The sequence below is a fragment of the Homo sapiens genome, chromosome 1 (genome assembly GCF_000001405.40).
Source record: "Homo sapiens chromosome 1, GRCh38.p14 Primary Assembly".
In the NCBI taxonomy this organism is placed as follows: Eukaryota; Metazoa; Chordata; class Mammalia; order Primates; family Hominidae; genus Homo; species Homo sapiens.
The window spans coordinates 182,052,783-182,073,983 of NC_000001.11; the positions used below are offsets into that span (position 1 = coordinate 182,052,783).

The 21,201-nt window shown below is 46.8% G+C and overlaps 1 protein-coding gene across 3 annotated transcripts, besides 1 other annotated feature; it reads right to left on the bottom strand.

The window, feature by feature from the left end:
* Positions 1-1,787: 1,787 nt before the first annotated feature.
* ZNF648 (zinc finger protein 648) lies at positions 1,788-16,864 on the bottom strand. 3 transcript variants are annotated; one of them, XM_047445722.1, is made up of 4 exons: positions 16,288-16,864; positions 15,535-15,588; positions 8,786-12,119; positions 1,788-5,291 (listed from the first exon to the last, which is right to left on the bottom strand). In XM_047445722.1, the coding sequence occupies exon 4, from the start codon at positions 5,226-5,228 to the stop codon at positions 3,522-3,524; it is 1,707 nt and encodes a 568-aa protein (XP_047301678.1). In that variant the 5' UTR covers positions 5,229-5,291; positions 8,786-12,119; positions 15,535-15,588; positions 16,288-16,864; the 3' UTR covers positions 1,788-3,521. The 3 variants fall into 3 exon arrangements, with proteins under 3 accessions (XP_047301678.1, XP_024309028.1, NP_001009992.1); XM_024453260.2 differs by lacking the exon at positions 8,786-12,119; NM_001009992.1 differs by lacking the exons at positions 15,535-15,588; positions 16,288-16,864 and having other exon boundaries at positions 8,786-8,930.
* Positions 3,431-3,961: an enhancer, noted in NCBI's record as "H3K27ac-H3K4me1 hESC enhancer chr1:182025348-182025878 (GRCh37/hg19 assembly coordinates)". NCBI's record gives its function as "activates a minimal SCP1, AML or CMV promoter by ChIP-STARR-seq in naive H9 embryonic stem cells {active_cell/tissue: H9 hESC(naive)}" and the evidence as "EXISTENCE:reporter gene assay evidence [ECO:0000049][PMID:30033119]".
* Positions 16,865-21,201: the final 4,337 nt, after the last annotated feature.

Consider the following 21,201-nt stretch of genomic DNA (forward strand, 5'->3'; position numbering starts at 1 on the left):
CTATGCCAGCCACTTTCTAGCTGTGGTATCTTTCTCCCTTGATTTCCTAATCTTAAAAAAATGGGGATAAGAATCACCATAAGTTTGCTTTAAAAAACAGTTAACATATATAAAACATTTAGAACAGTTCCTGGCACAAACTGAACACAATGTAAGTGTTGGCTATTATCATTATGGTCTAAAGAATACAAGTCATGAGCACCATAGACTGGTGAACCCATCAGGGGAATTTTTATTAAGTGGAAACATATAAATGAACATTTTTACTGAGTATATTCAAATTAATTTTGGCACCCTGTACTGTGGAAACAGCATTAACCCAGAGAGAAGCTTTAAATTCTTTTTGTCACGAAGAAGGCCCTGCCCTTATTTTATTTTATTTATTTATTTTGAGACAGCATCTCACTTAGGCTGAATTGCAGTGGCATGATCACAGCTCACTGCGGCCGCCACCTCTTAGGCTCAAGTAATCATCTTGCCTCAGCTTCCCCAGTAGCTGGGACTATGTGTGTGTGCCACCACGCCTAGCTCATTTTTTTTGTTGTTGTTTTTTGAGATGGAGTTTCACTCTTGTCACCCTGGCTGGAGTGCAATGGTGTGATCTTGGCTCACTGCAACCTCCGCCTCCTGGGTTCAAGCGATTCTCCTGCCTCAGCCTCCCAAGTAGCTGAGATTACAGGCGCCTGCCACCATGCTCAGCTAATTTTTGTAATTTTAATAGAGATGGGGTTTTACCATGTTGGCCAGTCTGGTCTCGAATTCCTGACCTCAGGTGATTCACCCACCTCAGCCTCCCAAAGTGCTGGGATTATAGGCATGAGCCACCGCACCTGGCCAACCTGGCTCATTTTTAAATTTTTTTTTAAAGGGATGGGGGTGTCACTATGTTGCCCAGGCTAGTCTCAAACTCCTGGGATCAAGCAATCCTCCCACCTTGGCCTCCCAAAGTGCTGGGATTACAGGAATGAGCCACCACACCTGGCTTTACCCTGATTTTTAATTACATAATAGAGAAATAAGATTGTCTGCTGTGATGTACAGTAGGTTAACAGAAAACCAGAAAGTAGCTCGGCATAATTTGGGGCACAAATGCAAGACAGAATAACCTGTCTTCAAGCATTGATTCTTTTCCAAAGATGTGACTCAACTACCCCTACTCTGAATGGACAGACTCTACTGGGCAGAATTTGTCCCAAGCCACCTCACAGCTGGTTGGCTTCTCTTTTGTCCACTCCATGTACTGTTGCCTTCTACTTGTGTACCACTGTCTGGTCCAGTGATCTGTGACTACTGGTTCCAATGGGATTCCTTTCTTCTCTAATACCTACTCAGAATGACCCTTGCAGTTGATGTGAGAAAAGACTGGTTGGGACAATTTTCCTTAAAATCTGAGTTGTTTTGTGAAAGGCCTGAAGGACTAATGAACTTCTCTTGGACCTGTTCAGTACATTCTACCCCTTATATTCCAGAAACATAGTATACAGCACCAAAGATACCCAGCACAAGCAAATCCAGCGTTTCTGCCTATTAACAAGTACGCTCACTCCTTCTCCAAAGCTATGCCCATGTGGAAGCCATACCTAGATACCACACTGCAGACCTTTATCAGTATTCAAGGTTAGGGTTCAGCAAGTTATATGGTTAACAAACAGCGCAGGTGACTCCTATGCAACCAGGTTTTGGCGAACAACTCCATAAAAATTATAAAACAAAACCAATTTTTTTAATTTGTAAAAACTATACTAATGACCATCTTCAAGAAAGGATACAATGAAAAGGAGTAATCCTTCAGTCTTCAAATATTTTATTGATTATCTAGGAAAAAAAAGTTAGCTTTTGCTCTCTTCATAGTCACAAGCTCATCTTGTGACTTTTCTACCAATTTAAAGCTCTTGCATCCAGCCAAAGTTTCCGTCATATAGTAGGATCACTCTAACTTTTACCTACTACTATCACTTCTATTTTGCCAATGCAGATGCAGAAACTGAAGCCCAAGGTCACATCAACAGTAAAGGATGGGGATGGACTCTTTTATTACGGTTACCTTGGTCAAACAAGACACAAGACTATCTAGCTATCTAGCTATCTAGCTATCTCTCTTACTTCTCTTTGGCGCCCCCATGTGTCATGAGAATGCTATTTAGAGGTCACACCCTAGTTCCAAATCAGGTGGAAACCAAGAGAAATTCAGATTTGGCATTCTTTGGTGGCAATTTTAGGAATATACTAAAGGTACTCCCCCAAAAAGGGCACTATACCTTCTTATGGAATATCTTATTTAACTTCAGTAAGATGAGAAGTGCCGTTTGCCTATGTGCACCAAGGACATCTGTGGAGTCATAGATTCCTCACAGTTGAGGTTCAGCTAAGAACTACTGACTTTATACAGATCACTATACACATCAATACACTTTGCAGAATGGCTGTTAGTAATGCAAACTTTGAAATAACCTCATTAGATAACTGTGAGCACGTAGGCTTCCATACCTGGTTTTAATGATTTTGAAATGCAGACAAGCCAATGGCACTTGGGCAAAGGGTGTTTTGTTCACTTCAAGTCAAGACTAATGATTCAGACAAATTTAAATGAACCCAAACGGTTTCATGAACCATGGTCAAGGCTTTGTGGAGAAATTATATATGTCTCTCTGTAAATGGGCCAATTGCTTTGTAAATATCACATATGACTTAAGCCCTCAGAGTGCAAACAGGAAAAGAGGCAGCCAGAGAGAAGGCATATATGAATTTATATGAATTCTGTGGGTGAGACTCGGGTTAGATCTACTTACTAAATTCCACTATAAAGAGGAATGGGCTTCTTTTTCAGATGCTAAGGCTGTCCTGAACTTCTAGAATAACTGGAATATGACATAAACCACCTTCTCTAAGATAAAGCCCTTCTCCACTTCAAAGCCAAGACTCATAAAGATATATCCTAAGGGTAAAGCCATTTCTGCAGTCAAGTGAAATGATGGGATGTTGGACTGGGTTTGAGTTCCTCCAAAAACGGCGTTGCTTTGGGGGAGTTCATCATAGGGACCACTTCTGGGGATTCCTTTATTTATATAAAAACCAAAAAGCATCTTTCTCTAAAGAGGACCAGCCCCTCAGGCCTTCTTTTCAGTATTTGCATATGGCTTTGAGGGTAGGACAGGTTAGTCTTTTTCCCCACCTTATCCCTGGAGCCCGGCCCAGTGCCCAGCATGTAATTCTAGAAGCAGTTTCTGATTGATTCAGGTTCCCCAACCCAAGGAACTCAACGTTTGATCAGCTCCCACTACTTTGTCTTTCCCTTTTCCAATTGCTTATGACCTCGGACACTCAGAACCACTGATGTGAAACCACCCACCTGGGTGCTCTCTCGGTGGTGACTTTCTGTTCAAGGGATCAAATAAATAATCAAATGGACCACTGATGACCCGCGACCTGCTGGGAGGCGAGGCTGACCAGTGAGGCTGGCAATACCATGTGAGTGGGCCCACCTGGGAAGGTTCCAAGTAGTGAGGTCGACGATGCTATCTTCACTCGTCAGAGGAGGAAGGGATGGGCTCCTTCTTGCAGGTGCCGTGCTTGGCTCGGTGTCGTTGGAGGTGATTGGACCTGGTGAAGGCCTGGCCGCAGTCCTCACACTGGTAGGGCCTCTCTCCGTTGTGCATTCGTATGTGCTGGGCCAACTCAGAGGCAATGCGGAAGGCCCTGCCGCACTCGGCACAGAGGAATCCCTTCTCCCCGGAGTGGATCTGTTGGTGCCGCTTCAGGGTCGAAGAGCGGGCAAAGGCCTGGCCACACTGCGTGCAAGGAAAGGGCCTCTCGCCAGTGTGGATGCGCTGGTGGCGCACGAGGCGCGAGGGCTGCGCGAAGGCCACGCCGCAGTCAGCGCACTTGAAAGGCCTCTGGCCGGTGTGCAGCGTCTGGTGCTCGGACAGATTGGAGGACTTGGTGAAGCACTTGCCGCAGGTGGGGCAGGGGAAGGGCCGCTCGCCCGAGTGCACGCGCTGGTGCTCCACCATGCGGCTGGCCACAGCGAACTCCCGGTCGCAGGCGGGGCAGCGGAAGGGCTTGGCGCCCAGGTGCGTGCGCTGGTGGCGCAGCAGCGACAGCGGCTTGTTGAAGGTCAGGCCGCACTCGGAGCACGGGAAGGGCTTATTGTTGCTGTGCATGTTGCGCTGGTGTTTGCGCAGGTCCGAAGAGCGCACGAAGGCCTTCCCGCAGTCTGGACACGGGTAGGGTTTCTCGCCTGTGTGGGTGCGGATGTGCTTCCGGTGGTCGGAGGACCAGGTGTAGGCCTTGTCGCAGAAGGAGCACTGGTAGGGCCGCTCGCCCGTGTGCAGGCGCCTGTGCTGCTGGAGTGTGCCGCGGTGGGAGTAGGCCTTCCCGCATAGCTCGCACGCGTAGCGCTTGGCGGCGCCGCCGCGCGTCTCCGCGGGGCTCAGCGGCTTGCTGGGCTTCTGAAAGGCCCGCCCGCCCCGCAGGCACCTGTAGGGACGCGCCTCAGCCTCTCCGCCCTCGCGCCGGCCCGCCTGGTTCTGTACTTTCCTGCTGTTCCGCGCTTTTGCCAGGACCGCGGCAGCCAGGCTGGCTGGGGTGGCCGACGCCTGGGCTGGTGTATGTGTCTCTTGCGTGGGAAGGTCCCAGTTGCTCCCCGGCCTGGGGAAACACAACAGAGAAGAGTTCCCTGCGGACGTGTCTACACTTTTGTGCGCACAGAGATACTTTCCATTGCTGGGGAAGCTGGGTGGGACATCCAAGACTGCGTCCTGGTTTGCCCCCGAGTATCCATCATCACCCGCAGGTAGTCGGTCCCCAAGAGGTTGCATCTGACCTAACAATTTGTGTGCGAGACCACTGGGAAGGGAACCCAGAGCTCTGCTTGCTCCCGGGGAACCCTGGGTCTCGTTGATCTTTGTCACATCTCTGCTCCAACTGGCTTTCCCAGACATTTCCACTGGTTTCTGCCCCATGCCCCCAGCACTGGAGGAGTCAGAGAATTTCTCTTCCTCTTTGCCCAGTGGATGGGGCCATGGCAAGTCAGGATTTTCGTGTGTTACTGGGGAGCTGCCCCTTGGACAGGCCACCGGGTCAGCGGTGCCCTCTTTTTCGGCCTCCCCACCATCTTCATCGTCACTCTCTAAGTTCATGCTCAGCATCTGGGTGTCATGAGCTTCCTCAGTCAAGCTGCTGAGAGGAGACGCCTCTCCCCACCTGTCCTGGGAGTCCACTTGTGCCATGATGTTCAGGCGCTTCTATTGCCTACTCCTCTGAGGAGGAGTATCCTGCTTGGCTCAGGATACCTGCAAAAAGAAAAGTACGAAGAGAAAATCACAAAGAATGTACTTAATCACTTTCATGAGCAGAGGGACTGAGGTTCCCACTATAGCTCTGTTTCCAACTGGTCTCCATGTCAGGCATATTGTTGAGCCTCACTGAGGACAGAGGCCTGGCTCTGCTGAAAATTCCAGTCATCCTATTCCCTCTGGAGATCCCACTTGCTATAAGCCCCAGGAGACCATGCTGTCAGGAATAGCCAGGGTGGGGCATTTGCTGGGTGCCAGCTGTGCCTTGTCCTGTCTAGGGTGCTCATCCCCAACCACTAACCAAATGTGTCCTTTGTCAGCATGGGGGACAACTCGATGAGAGGGTAGGAACCAAGCTGTGGTCCTCCTAAGACACTCTTACAGTGTCCCCCACTCAGGAAGCTGGAAACCAGGCTGGCTTTTGCTGTCCCTGCCAGGAATGGAAGTCTGCCATCCCATGATGGTGTCAGCTAGGGTTACCTCTCAGGCCCTGGGCTGTGTAGGCCACCTCTTCCAAAGATAAGGAGCAGCCCTTGGGAGAATGAGGGTGAGTCAGGAAGGCACCAGTTGCCCCTCACTGATTAAGCGGGGCTTCTCAGGCCCTTGTAACTTCTGAGGAACTCCTAACTGCCAGGAAGGCTACCCATAAGCACCCGGGGGCAGAGGATGCCCACTGAGAGCTTGACCTGTCTTTGAAATTTTGCTTCATCATAAACATTCAGGAGAGTTTACATTTTATGTCTCATTTTTGTTTTTGTTTTTAATTGAGTCGGAGTCTCGCTCTGTCACCCAGGCTGGAGTGCAGTGGCGCGATCTTGGCTCACTGCAACCTCTGCCTCCCGGTTCAAGTGATTCTCTGCCTCAGCCTCTTGAGTAGCTGGGATTACAGGTGCCCACCACCATGCCCGGCTAATTTTTGTATTTTTAGTAGATACAGGGTTTCACCATCTTGGCCAGGCTGGTCTTGAACTCCTGACCTTGTGATCCACCTGCCTCGGCCTCCCGAAGTGCTGGGATTACAGGCATGAGCCACTGTGCCCTGCCAGTCGCATTTGTTTTATAGAAAATAGTATTAAAGTTACCTGGGTTTAAATGTTTAATCTTCCCCCAAGTGTGCCATATTGATCCCCTGGCATACCACAGATGTCCACTGGGGTACACATCTCCTGACTCAAGAAGCCAGATGTAGGATTTCAAACATAATGCATGAGACATGAGAGCCATTTGGGTTTTATTTTCAAACTTATTTTATTTTAGCTTGAAGACATGGAGAAAGCCTGCTGGAGGATTGGTTAACAAGGATTGGATGAGTGACAGATTTTAAAGGAGTTACTAGAGAGGCAGGGTACTGAGGGCCTCTCCAGGGGGACAACTGTTGACCAGAGGGCTAAATCTGCTTTAGTCTGGAGAGAAACTTCTGAGAATCCCAGAGGGGGTATTAAAACTCTCATTTTTCTGGGCACACGTTATGAGCCAGCCACTATGCTGAGTGCTTCACAAACATAATTTCATTTATTCCTCTCAGCAAACTTTAAGATAGATGCTATTGGGAGGCCGAGGCAGACGGATGATGAGGTCAAGAGATTGAGACCATTCTGGCTAACACGGTGAAACCCCGTCTCTACTAAAAATACAAAAAAATTAGCTGGGCATGGTGGCGGAGCTTGCAGTGAGCTGAGATCGCGCCACTGCACTCCAGCCTGGGTGACAGAGCGAGACTACATCTCAAAAAAAAAAAAAAAGATAGATGCTATTATTACTATATTATTCTTTCAATTTTACAGACCAGGAAACTGAGCTTTATTGAGGTTACTTACCTGCCCAAGGCCACACAGCTCATAGACAGCAGCAGTGGGGTTTCTCTCTAATTTTAAGGCCATTAAGCCCCAAATGGTCCTGCCTCCCAGCTGTGGCCTTCAGACTGAAGCCTGCTCTGGGGCTGGGCTCTGCCCAAGAGCAGCTGCAGCATCCTGGGGTGAAAAGCCGTGGCTTTCTGCAGGCATCAAAGCCCCTTGTGTTTTCTGGGCCAAGGAACCTTGGCTACAGGGCCTCACTGCTGGGCTCCTCCCTGCTTTCATTGACCCAGATTGCCCTCCGCCAAAGAGAGAGGCCAGTGGCTGCCCATCAGAGCCAGGACCCATGTTGCAGAGGCCACTGCCTGTGGTGCTCAAGAGTATTAGTCACTGAGTATTTACCTTCTGAAAGCTCCTTCTCTCTACCTCTGCCCACCTTTCACTGCCATCTCAGACTGGATAAAAGGAGTGATCTTTGTATTTGGCTGGTACAGTTAACCCTATCCCCATCTCATTAAACTGTTCTTCCCTGGTTTCTGCCTGATCATGAGCCCAGTTACCCTGTGTGTATGAAGAGGGAGCAGTATGGAGGAATCCTCACTTTCTGCTCTGGATACAGAAGCCATGGATGGAGGGAGGACACATTGCAGTTGTGACTGGAATTCAGCATCTCACGTCTCTTTGTGCCCTAAAGCCCAGGGACCACTCCTCTTCTCTCACTGCTTCCCTCACCCATCACATGGCAGAGGGTAGCTGGCATGCCTTTTGACAGGAGCCCAGATCTGACATATTTTCAGCATAGTGGATCTTAGGGAGTGAATGTGTAGTTCATAGAGGGGACATACCACTAGCCAACCTCATAGAACTTGCTCAGACCAGCAGGCTTGATCCGGGGCTGTAGGTCCCCCAGCAGGGACAGCAAAGGGATGCTGGATTTGTATGAAACACATGTCTTAGGTCTCTTTCCCTCTTTACGACAACATACTGCCTGTTTCTGTGGCACTGTTCACAGATCACTGACTTTACCCGCTCCCCACCCCACCTCCAGCACAAATACCCCATTTTCCACAGTCTGTGTGTCATTCTTTTCCTCTGGGCCACAGGGGAGCCTCCTTAGGGTGGCACACAGCCCTCCACTAGCTAACCAATCTCCTCTCCAGAGCCCGTCAGGAGACTCTCTTTTCAGATGAGGTATCCCTCCTCCATCTGAAGCCATATCCCCAGTGAATATGTCCTGCTTTCTTCCTCCTGTCGCTGCCACACGCATGCTCTCGACCACCAGGAAGACCTGGAGGCAGGCAGGGGCACAGGGAGGGATTTTCTGGCAAAGTCTGCACAAATATACCTGGTCTGAAAGAGGAACACTGATGCCATGGTATGGCGGGCCTCTCTGCTCCCCAGATGTGCTAGTCCCCAGAGGCTGTCAGAGCAGTCCTTTGCTGGAACTTCCTCTGCACTTGCCAGCCAAGAGTGGACCAAATGCAGCCTTTGACTCCCCAACCTCATACATCCATCAACACTCTGCAGAAGCCTACCCTAAGGGCTTGTTGCAACCCCAGCCCATACCCCTCTTCTTTCCTTCATTCTTTCCAGATTGTACTGAAGTCCATCCTAGGCAGCCGCCTCCTACTTTCTTCTCTGCTCACCGCCTTCAGGCCTTGCTCTCCACTCCTGGCTCACACACAGACGGTTGCTTACCTGGGAAATGCAGACAGCAGTGTGGGGCCTCTGCCCTGGCTTCTGTGACACGTGGGCTCTCAGCAACAGGAACCAGTTAGGTACAAATCAGCAGAGATGGTGTCTCTGTCTCTCACGCTTTGTGTCCAGTCCAGCGGCTGCAGAGAGAGCCTCTGGAGGTGGGGCCAGTGTAATACACTCAACCTTCCTGCCTGCATCCAGAGAGCAGCCTGGGAAATAGAGTGGGGCTGCCCTCTCTCACTGCCTGAACCGATCCTCTGGCTCCCTCTGCTCCTGCCTCCCCTCCCTGCCAAAGCCAGCCTTCCTCCTTCCCTCCTCTCAGTCTTCCTGCAGGTGGCCCTATGCCTCTTGTTCACTTTCACTCCTTCCTTCCACAGAGCAGTCCATCCTTCACTTTAGCCCTGGTATGCCCATGGGCCACATGTCACTTGTGAGCTTCCTGGGTAGCATGCTTTTTCCCTCCTGGAAGGCAGAACAGAGTATTTGGCCTATATGCCCACCTCCCTATTCTAGTACCCACCTTTTGCAGGACTGTGAGTTGCAGAACTGTGAGGGGTTGGGATTCCCAGAATTCTTTGTAGCAGCCCATTCATTGGCTCAAAGATGCCCACAGCCTTTTAACTGGGAGTAGGGGTGCAGGGAGATGGTTTTCTGTCTTATGCATACAGATGCCAGGCCTGTCTGGGGTCTCTTTCCACTTTCAGCATTGATTCCCATGCAGGTTCATTTTGAAGAGAAGGATTGGCCCAAGGTAGAAGACTCAGTACATTCAGAATTTTTACCCACTCAAGTCTAATGTGCATTTATTAGGATGAACATTCAGGGCATTAAAATAGGTGATGGAAGTGTGGTTCCTGTGATGTCACTAGGTGGTCACAAAGTATACTGATTGACAGCACGGTCTGGGTCTGGGTTTGAATCTTACTACTTACTAGCTGTGTGATCTTGGGCAAGTTATTTAACCTCTGTGTGCCTTAGTGTCTCATCTGCAAAACAGGGACCAGGATACTATTGCCATCATGGAAGTTTGGGGAGTATTAAATGAGATAATGCATGTAAGGAGCTTAGTTCGGTGTTTGGAACATAGCAAGTACCCAAAAACGTTAGCTGCTTTCATTGTTATTATTGACGATTTTTAAAAATTTTAAGTTCCGGGATACATGTGCAGGATATGCAGGTTTGTTACATAGGTAAACATGTGCCATGCTGGTTTGCTGCACCTATCAACCCTTCCTTCACCTAGGTATTAAGCCCGGCATGCATTAGCTATTTTTCCTGATGCTCTCTCCACCCCGCACTCCCCCAACTGGCCCCAATATGTGTTGTTCCCCTCCCTGTGTCCATGTGTTCTCACTGTTCAGCTCCCATTTATAAGTGAGAACATGCGGTGTTTGGTTTTCTGTTCCTTTGCCAGTTTGCTGAGGATAATGCCTCCAGCTCCATCCCTGTCCCTGCAAAGGATATGATCCTGTTCCTTTTTATGGCTGCATGGTATTCCATGGTGTATATATACCACATTTTCTTTATCCAGTCTATCATTGATGGGCATTTGGGTTGATTCCAAGTCTGCTATTGTGAATAGTGCGGCATTGAACATATGCATGCATGTATCTTTATAATAGAATTATTTATATTCCTTTGGGTATATTCCCAGTAATGGGATTGTGGATCAAATGGTATTTCTGGTTCTAAATCTTTGAGGAATCGCTATACTGTCTTCCACAATGGTTGAACTAATTTACATTCCCACCAACAGCGTAAAAACGTTGCTATTTCTTCGCAACCTCGCCAGCATCTGTTGTTTCTTGACTTTTTGATAATCGCCATTCTGACTGGCATGAGATGGTATCTCATTGTGGTTTTAATTTGCATTTCTCTAATGATCAGTAATGTTGAGCTCTTTTTTCATGTATTTGTTGGCTGCATGTATGTCTTCTTTTGAGAAGTGTCTATTCACATTCTTTGCCCACTTTTTAATGGGGTTGTTTGTGGGGGGTTTCGTAAATTTGCTTAAGTTCCTTGTAGATTCTGGATATTAGACCTTTGTCAGATGGATAGATTGAAAACATTTTCTCCCATTCTATAGGTTGTCTGTTCACTCTGATGATAGTTTCTTTTGCTGTGCAGAAGCTCATTAGTTTAATTCGATCCCATTTGTCAATTTTTGCTTTTGTTGCAATTGCTTTTGGCAATTTCATAAAATCTTTTCCTATGCCTATGTCCTGAATGTTATTGCCTAGATTTTCTTCTAGGGTTTTTATAGTTTTTGGTTTTACGTTTAAGTCTTTAATTCATCTAGTGTTAATTTTTGTGTAAGGTGTAAGGAAGGGGCCAGTTTCAATTTTGTGCATATGGCTAGCCAGTTCTCCTGGCACCATTTATTAAATAGGGAATCCCTTCCCCATTGCTTGTTTTTGTCAGGTTTTCGGAAGATCAGATGGTTGTAGATGTGTGGTTTTATTTCTAAGTTCTCTTTCTGTTTCATTGGTCTATGTGCCTGTTTTTGTAGCATACCATGCTGTTTTGGTTACTGTAGCCTTGTAGTATAGTTTGAAGTTGGGTAGCATGATGCCTCTAGCTTTGTTATTTTTGCTTAGGATTGTCTTGGCTCTACAAGCTCTTGTTTGGTTCTATATGAATTTTAAAATAGTTTTTTCTAATTCTGTGAAGAATGTCAGTGGTAGTTTAATGGGAATAGCACTGAATCTATAAATTGCTTTGGGCAGTATGGCCATTTTCACAATATTGGTTCTTCCTATTCATTATTGATGATTTTGTTGTTTTTAGGGAAGACATCATTCCAGGGCTGCTTTTATATCCCTGTGGCCCTGTTGAAGCTGCAACTCTTCTGAACAGCAGTTTTCAGAATGTGATCCAGAAAAGCAGGTTTCAATGTCCCCTTGGTGTTTTTAAGGCATGGTTTCAGAGGAAAGAGGCAGGCAGCAGAGACATACCTCTAGGTCTCTGAGTCTGAATATCTGGAATAGGGTTCAAATTCTGAAGTCCATAGAGCCTCTGAAATAAAGTGCAGAATGTGGCAGATATGGGGACATGTGCTGTTCTGACAAGAGGATCCTTGGTAGCCATCCATTTCTTGAAGGGGCCATGATCCAAAAAATGTTGAGAACCATTGGCATTTGGGGAGAGCATGGGATGGGGAGAGTAGGTGAACACTTAAAATAGCTCCCATAGCCACGTTATCAGTTGGTGCTGCCACTAGCCCGCATCCCAACATGGTTGCTCAAAATATCCCAAGTGTCCATATGGTACGGGCTTTGAGCTTCAGCTATCTTTGGCAAGAAAGTACCTAATTCTTCACTGATTGTGAAGGAGCCTGTGGAGATGAAAGTTGGAGCTGGGATGAGTGTGTGTGTGTATGTCCCTCCCATTCCCAGCCTCACAGCAATGGTACATTTATTGAGCAGTTACTAGTGCTAACACTATGCTAGCATGCCACACACAATGCCCCAATTAATCTTCATCACATCCTAACGAAGCAGCTACTACTAGTGTTACCTGCATTTACAGATGGAGGATACAGAGCCATAGGCAGCTTAAGGGCCACAGCCACACAGTTCCTACATAGTGGAGCTGCAATTTGAGCCAAGGTATCAGAGTCTGCACTCTTAACCACTACCACATTAGATTCCCAAACACTGTCCCTCAGAGCCTGCATGCTTGGCCTTTGCTTGACTCTACCCTTATTTCCTCCTGGAAAGTCTTAGTCCCTCCTCCCCAAGGCTATGTGACCTGTGTATCTGTGGTCACTATAGTCATTCCCCCAGAAGGCATTCTTCTCCCTCAGCCTTGCTGCCCAGAGAGATGGTTCCCACTAAGTGCCTGCACAGTCTCATCACCTATTCCTCATTCAGCCTGGACAGCCTGTTTTCCATCATGCTTTATTTCTAGAAACCGTAACAACCGAGTAATTAGCAGACACCTTGGGACTTCCACGTTAAATTGTCCACGTGAGTCCTCCTTGGTTTTCAAGACACACTGGTGTTGCCATCTCACTGGTATGGGATAGTCCACCTAGTGGTGAATGGGACCAGGACTGGCCTGGAGGCTACATCAAGAGACAAGGTGTACACAAGCCCCTTATCTCCCTGAGTCACCTACCCTGATACATCCTCCAAGCCATCTTAAGAACGCTGTTTGGAAGTGCCATGTGCCTTTATCTATGTGAGACTTCACTATCCTAATGAGTGGCACATAGTGGGTGCAGATCAGGCCTCAGATCTGAATCCCAGGTCTTGCCTATCCCACTGGTCAACCTATTGCTCAGACTCCAAGGGACAGGAATCCCTTTTGTTTCCTGGGTGTGTTTCCCTTTTGACAGCACAAGCACATTTACTGTCTCATTTAATCTTTCCAACACTCACTGTAAGGACCACTAGAAATGGAGAGCGGAAGGCCCTTTCCCTAAGGCCACATCCTTTTCCTGCTTTTAGGAACTTCTGAAATCTGTGTCATTCTGCCCAGTTCCTTAAGCATGGAAACAAAGTAGGTGTTCTTTTATGTATTGGTTATTATTTGCAAGTCTGCCTCTAAAATCTGGCAATTCCTCTGAGCTGCTGACTGGCAGTAGTGAAAACAAGGGTCTGCCCGCCTGTCTGGGAAGAGGAAAAAGCAGAGACTGAAGGAGTAACACAAGGCATCTGGGAGAGAGAAGGGCATTTGATGGGCATGGTGCAGGAGCTCATTTGTGCCTATCAATGACATGGACTGGATGGGTGGAGTGGAGTGACGTGGTGGAACATGAGCCACACTGGCCTATGTTCTTCCCCATGCTCTGCTGCCAGCTGTCATCACAGCAATCTGCCTGAGCTGCTTCCAAACAGTGTGAATGGTTGGTGAGGTATACTATCTAATCTTCTTCTTGCCCCAGCCCTTCATCATCCTTGAGGAGGAGTGATAGAGGCAGTTAAGTGGCCAATACATGGTGGAGACTTTAAATATTGTTTTTCATGCAGGCATCAAACTTTGCTGAGTATGAATACACATGCAGAAAGCAGAATTGGACAGGAACTCAGTACACAACCTTGAGTCAGAAAGGCCTGGCTTTAATCCCATTTCTGTTTGTTTGATGATCTTGGTCCATTTACTTAACTTCTTTGAGCCTCATGCTCCTCACCCATAAAATGGGAATAAGAATAATTTCATGATAGGGTTGTAAAATAATCTGAAACCACATTTTAAAAGCATTTGGTCTAGTGTTAGCTGTATAGTCATTTTTCAATAAATTATAAGCCTTATTATTTTTATCCTAGAGCTATTGGGAGCTTGCTGATACCTTTGCTCCATCCCTGTTCTTCCAGAATGCTAGCCCTTAATTACTCTGCTTCCAGAAGGGTGCCATTCTCTGATTCTGGTCTCCTAGCCCCAAACATTCCCACTGAGAGACTGACCAAGCAGCCTTTTTTGAGGCCAATAACGTTCCTAGAGCAGTGATGTCATAAACCTGGGTCTGTCATCGCGTGCTACACTTGGCACACGTGGCAATCAGTGACAGAGTGGAAGGTTTGTGCTCTGGATGGGATGACATTATAAGGCAATGACATCACATGTCAGTACTTCCTGGCACCCCCTGCAGAACAGTGCCAGGTAGAATGCCTTCTCTTCACTAACTCAACACCACCTGCCCCAGTGAAGACTGCACAGTGTAGTGATGGAGCATACAGGCTCTGACATCAGGCTACTTGGGTAAATCCTATTTCTACACCCTGCATGACTGTGAGCAAGTTGCTTAACCTTTCTGTGCCCCAGTTTCTTTGTCTGTAAATTATGGCTAATAATAATATTTAATATCTAGCTTACAGAGTTGTTGTGGGGTTTAAATGAGATGATGTGCTTTGCAGAGTACAAGGGATGGACAAGTGCCCAATCAGTATTAGCTAACAATATAATATGGGGTAGGAAGGCACCTCTACCTCCTGTCTAAACAGCAGAGAACCCAGAGAACCCACCTCTGGTCTCCACTGGAACCTTTTCCTCAAACTTTCTGAAGCCCTTACTCAGTATAACCAGGTCCTACTGAGGCAGTGGTCTCTGGAGCCACTTCTGGAGCTCACCAGAAGACCAGCCCTTTCCAAGCTTCTCAAGACCTACATTGCACTATAGTGACCCTGCCAGATGACCCTGGAAGCCTCTGGCCCAGGCCGAGGGAGCATAAGCTGCAAGCAGTGGGTTGGGCTTCACTGCAAGCAGTTGGATGGGTTCATGGAACCCTCAGGGTACAAGAGGCTGAAGATTCAAATTGTCTACTGACATAGCAGCATATTATCTTGGCCCACACTGACTACCACATCTTTCAAGGCCACAGAGACTTCAGGCCTCCACTCCTCCACATTCCACCTCAGCCTTGGGACCTTGTAGAAAACTGAGGAAGAACACCACAAATGAGACTTCTGGGAATCTTCTATACCTTAGGTTTACGTTCTGACTTTACTGGTCCTTCTGGGCTCAGGGATAGAAGGTCTGGGGAGGTTAGAAGGGAAGATACTGCTTATCTTTACGTAATAAACACATTGAAAAAGAACCCTCTGATCTCTTGTATCAGTGGGAATCCCTTGAACTGAGGCTTACCAGAGCCCAGGGGCATGATGAAGCTGTTGGAAATTTAAAAACAAAGGCATCGACCTCAGTATTTTTAATGAAGAGATCTAAGAAATTATCTAGTGCAGCCCCTCTGTTTTACTGGTGTTGAGATTGAAGTATTCATTTATTTGTTCGATCATTCATTTACTCACCAAACATTTGTTGAGCTTTACTATGTCAGTGTTTTTCAGACTGCAGGACACAATCTGTGAATATGACAGGGAATCACTTTAGTGAGCCACAACCAACATTCTTTTTTAGAATAGAACAGAAGACAGTAGAATATATCAAAGTGTCTCACACATAAAAGTATAGTTTCATGTAATTTTTGTTTTAGGTTTATAAACATAGTCTGGGGGTATATAATGAAGACTGTATCTCATAGTCTGGTTTGCTCTGATTCTTGGTCAAACACAGTTGAAAAACATTGTACATTGCATCAACCCTGCTGTACATAAGAATAATCTGGGGCCAGGTGCAGTGGCTCATGCCTGTAACCTGTAGTCCCAGCACTTTGGGAGGCTGGGGCGGGAGGATCCCTTGAGCCCAGGAGTTCGAGACCAGCCTCGGCAACATAGGGAGACCTCACCTTCACAAAGAATTTTTAAAAATTAGCTGGATGTGGTGGCACACACCTGTGGTCCCAGCTACTCAGGAGGCTGAGGCAGGAGGATCAGTTAAGCTCAGGCTACAGTGAGCCATGATCAAACCACTGCACTCCAGGCTGGGCAACAGAGTGAGACCGAGTCTCAAAGGAAAAAGAAAAGAAAATTTTCCTCTCTGTTCTTAGAAGAAAGAAAGAAAGAAGGGAGGAACAAAGGAAGGAAGGAAGGAGAGAGGAAGGGAAAGGCAGGGGGCTCGCCACCGTCCAGAATTCTCCCCCATATTCCCTGATCCTTGCTTACCGCCTTGGGCAGGTGCTGTCTCTTTCTCTCTGGACCAGGCTGGAGCCTCCCGGCTCTCTGGCTCCCCCTTTGGCTCCCTGGAACATTGCCGCTGGGAGCCTGGCTTCTGACACAGCTGCGGAGCTCCTGGCTCCGCTGTCCTCCCAGGTCACACCACCTACATGCGCTGGCCAGGGTACAAGGGGCCTTTTCTTTCCAAGGCCCCCATCAAAACCACACGCCTCTCCTCGCAGCTGTCTAGCTCGGCTGCCTGAACACAGAGGTAATTCACAGGAGATGTGGAAGGGCATTTGAGGTTTCCATAAAAACATACTCCCTTTTCCTCTTTCAACTGCTGCACTGAACGTAACCAGAGAGGACCTCTCTTCATAGCACTCTGGCCACGGGTGTGAAGCAAGTTTCTTGAAAGAAATTTCCTATAGGGCTGCTGGAGTGCGGCATCCCTCTGTAGGTGTGGATTCTCCTGGCAGGATGAGCTGTGGCCTGGTTTTGCCTATATTGAACAGTAAGCATGTCTATTCTTTGAAAAGACCATGAAAACCTCTGGCAAATCTAATGGGGAGTGGGGGCTGGGTGAGTTAAAAAGAAATAAAATATAAGTAAGGTATAAAAATATAAAGGCATACTTTGAGCAATTTTATGTCATCATGTTTGAAAACATCAATGAAGCAAATTACATTCTTGTACATATGTAGAATTGAAATCTTACATTTGGAATAAAAAGTATCAACAATCTGCTAATAGCTGGGCCTCATCAGATGAAAGTGCCTGGGCCAGACCCAGTCCTTGGCCTTGCAGAGACAAAAACTCTATTTTGACACGCTTCCCCCACCCACCTGTCACCACCTCCACCCCAGGTGCCCAGGCTAGTTAGGGAAGGGCAGAGGTGTGAGGGCTCCAGGCATGGCTACTCTGGAGAGCAAGCTTCTGCTCTTCAGCCAGGTTTTCTCACTTAGGAGGGGAGGGAGGATGAGATATGGCAGAGGCCCTTTGCACAGTGATGTGCAGTCCTTCTTTACCAGGAAAAACGGGACTGCCGAGGATCCCAGGACATTCCTGAAGGCTCACCAGCCTGGCTCTATGCATAGGACAGTGTAGACAAGTTGAACTACAGCACCAAGAGCACTGAATCAGAGCTGGGGCTGGTATCAGGAGCCTGGTGCCTCTTCTGCACCCCAAGGACACGGCTGTGTAACCGGACCCAGGTTCAGCTGCTTGCTGCTGCAAAGCCAGAGGCAAGGGGTTCTGGGAGGAAAAGCAGAGCCAGCAAACCCAGAAGATGGCAAGCTAGCATTCTAAAGTATCATCTTACATTTTATAACTTACCATAGAGTTTTTAAAGGGATATGTGGTATAGGGGACATGTGGGAGTGGTACAGGGTACTGGACTTGTGTGTCTTGTTCCGTTGGCTCTCTTGGTTAATTGCTCATCAGGAGGTCTGGTTGGTATTAGCTTGATTTTGGCTCAATTGTTCACAACTCCCCCTAAGTGGGAGGAGTGGGGCACCTGGATTGTTTCAATATTAGCCTCTGGGATTTCTTAGGTAAGAGCATAATTAGATAAGCATGCACTGGTGAGGGGATTGTCTAGAGAGGGAAGGAATGAAGGGGTAAGAGGGAAGGGAAGGAAGAAAAGGAAATGGGTGATTTTTAAAACAGAGGTTCCTGGTTATAACTGCACAGGGCCCTGTTACCTGTGGCTCCAGCTGCAGGTTTGCTCTCACACAACCTATATGGGCAGTACTGGGGATAGACCTAAGTTCTCGCTTTGCCAAGTCCCTTTTCCTGGACCCTGGCAGGCCATTCTCCTGTTGACACATCTTCAACTGTAAAGGTTGCCCCTTAGTTAGTTAGCACCCAGCTATAGTTTCATCCCAGTCCCAGTGACACTGTTTCAGCACCTTCAGTGGACCTGGGGGCTTCCTGAGCCTGTTCAGCTCTGTGTTTCTGGGCTACACACCCACATCGGCTCCTTGGGTGGTTTACCCTCACCCATTAGGATTCTTCCTCTTAAGAGGTGAAGACATCCCCAAGCTTCAGAACAGCCTTACTGTAGCCATCTGCTTAGTATAGGTTGAGCACCACTAACCTCAAAATCCAAAGTCTGAAATGCTCCAAAATCCAAAACTTTCAGAACACTGACATGATGCCAAAAGTGAAAAATTCTACACCTGACCTCATGTGACAGGTCATAGCCAAAATGCAGGTGCACAACACACAGTTTATTCAGAATGCCTCCTCATCCTAAGGGACCCACCTCCTGGTCCCCCACTGCTTTGGATGTTTCTCCTCACCTAAAAAAAAAAAAATACAGCGTTCAATGACCTTTTAATCAAAACACAGCATTGTAGCTGAAAGCCTGTTGTTTGTTGCTGCTGTTGTCTGACAGCTGATACAGGTATTCTGGTGATGCTCCTGTGCTGCTTATTTACCCAGACACATTATTTTTTCATTGTATTAATAATGTATCTTTTTTTACTGTTTAAGTACTTATGTGTAAATAAGTATAGGAAAATGATTGCTTATTGGTAGCATCCACAGTTAGAGTCAGGAATGATGATGATGCCAAACAACCATGTTTGGTTTGTCCACATGGGTGACTGAGATAGTGACACCTGTGCTTTCTAATGGCTCAATGTATGCAAACTTTATTTCATACACAAAATTATTTAAAATATCATATAAAATTAACCTTGGAATATGTATATAAGGTGTATATGAAACATAAATGAATTTTGTGTTTAGACTTGGGTCTCATCCCCAAGATATCTCATTATGTATATGCATATATTCCAAAATATGAAATCCATAACATTGCTGATTCCAAGTATTTTGGATAAGGGATACTCAACTTATATAATGAGAAAAGGCAGGAGTATGGAGTACAACTTTGGAGTCAGAAGGGCTTGCGTTCAAATCCCTGCTCTGCCACTTGCTAGTTGTATGACCTTGATGAAGTTCTCTGGCTTGTCTCAGGCCTGTTTGTGTAGGAGGGGCAATGGGGTTAACAGCGCCTCTCTTATGGAACTTCTGTATGTGTTATGCAGACAAACATTTCATCATCACCGTGCACAGTGCAAGAGCTCAGTGCATAACAGCTGTGTTGTTCTCAAAAAGTAGAAAACATGGAGAGACTGGTAGCTGAGGAAAAAAATGAGAAAAGAACTGCAGTCCTTTTGTAGTCCTAGTTTCTCTGTTCAGGACTCAGCATTTGATGATGTTTACGGGTCTCTTCAAACATGGCTTCCAAACTGAACATGATGTTTTGGGTGCAGCTGGTCTGACCATTATGGAGCAAAGAAGACTTGGCTCTTCCTTATTTCTGGTTCTCCCTTGGTATCCCAAAAACTTTGGCCTTTCTGGTGGGCACAACCACCTAACCCCTTCAGTGTTAAGAAACATCCCAAAGCATTTTGTACATAAGCAATGGTGATGTCACATCTCTTCTATGCTATTTTTGGGTAGCTGGACTTCTCTTGTGAGTTGAATTTTGATTTGGGGGTACAAGATGTTATATTAGGGACCAACATCTCTGAAGGGAAGGGGGATCAACAGAATTGGGTAGCGGAAGATGAGGCCCAACAAAGCCTCAGCCAACCTGGCAGAAAGCTTTGGAGCAAGTTTCCTTGGGCAGAGTGCCCAGCATTGGGCTGAAGAGGCCAGCTCTTTCAATATCCAGGTCACCAGATACAGGAGGCAGTGGAAAGGCTATGATCTCGGACAAGGCAGCTCTCTGCAGTTGAGGCAGACTCTGAAGGAGCTGACAGCTAAAGGTTGTCTGCTGACTACATTCCCCACAGCTGCACAGCAAGTGCTTCTCTGGAGGAAGATCTGGGCAGCACATCTTCATGTGTGTACCTCTGTACCCAGGTGTAGCACCTACAATTCCCACTTCAGCCCAGCTGCAGAGGCCAGTGCTGTCCTAGGTAAGAGAGGCCTTTTCTCTCTTACTGCTTCTTTCCCATACAGGCCAGCTTCTAGAAACCCTTATCTACACATGCTCTCTCCACTTTTTCTCATTCCATTTACTCTTCAAGCCTGTTACACTCTAGCTGCTACCCTCCATCTAATTGAAATTGCTCTAGTCAAGGTCGTTGACCTCCATTTAGGAAAAGCCAAAATACACATTTTTTGTCCCTTACTGAAACTCTCAGCCTCAGTAAACATGGTTGGCCTCACCCTCCTTCCCCACTTTCCTTTCCTGGCTTCCTCATATGTCTCTTTTCCACCTCTTTCTGTCTTTAAATGTCGGCATTCTTCAGAATTTGGCCCTAAGTGCTCCATTCCTCTCCACTCCTCTTCTATCTCTTCTGTTACCTCTCTTTTCCTCTTCTCTCTTCTCTTCTTTAATATTTTCTTCCCCTTCCCTTTATCTCCCCTTTTTCCCTCTCTTCTCTGATCCTATTCCTTTCTCTCCTCTCTTCTTCTCTTCTGTTTTCTCCATATGTTCTCTCTAAGTGATTTTATTCATGCTCTTGGCTTGAAATCTCACCTATGTTCTAAAACCCACCAAAAATATATCTCTGAATTCCAGATCTCTATAATTCAACTGCCTAGTTTTACTCATTAACATCATAAACATAACCATTCAAAACTGAATCCCCCAATCTACTCCTCTCTGAGATGTTACCATCTCAATAAATGACACCATCAACAATTGGCTTGGTTAAGCCAAAATCCTGGGAGTTACTCTTTTACCCTGATTTTTTTCACCACCTTGTCTTTTGGATCAGCTTGTCCTATTGATTTAATCTCCAAACTGTATACTGAAGTAATTTACTTCTCTTCACCACCATTGCCACTTCTCTAGCACAAGCCATTATCATCTACTTCCTGGAATACTGAAGTTGCCTTGTTATTGGTCTTCATGTGAGCATTTTTGCTCCCCTGCAATCCATTCTCCACATGACAACC

Coding starts and splice junctions, on each gene's coding strand:
- ZNF648 (XM_024453260.2), bottom strand. CDS start 5,228: ATGGCACAAGTGGACTCCCAGGACAGGTGGGGAGAGGCGTCTCCTCTC.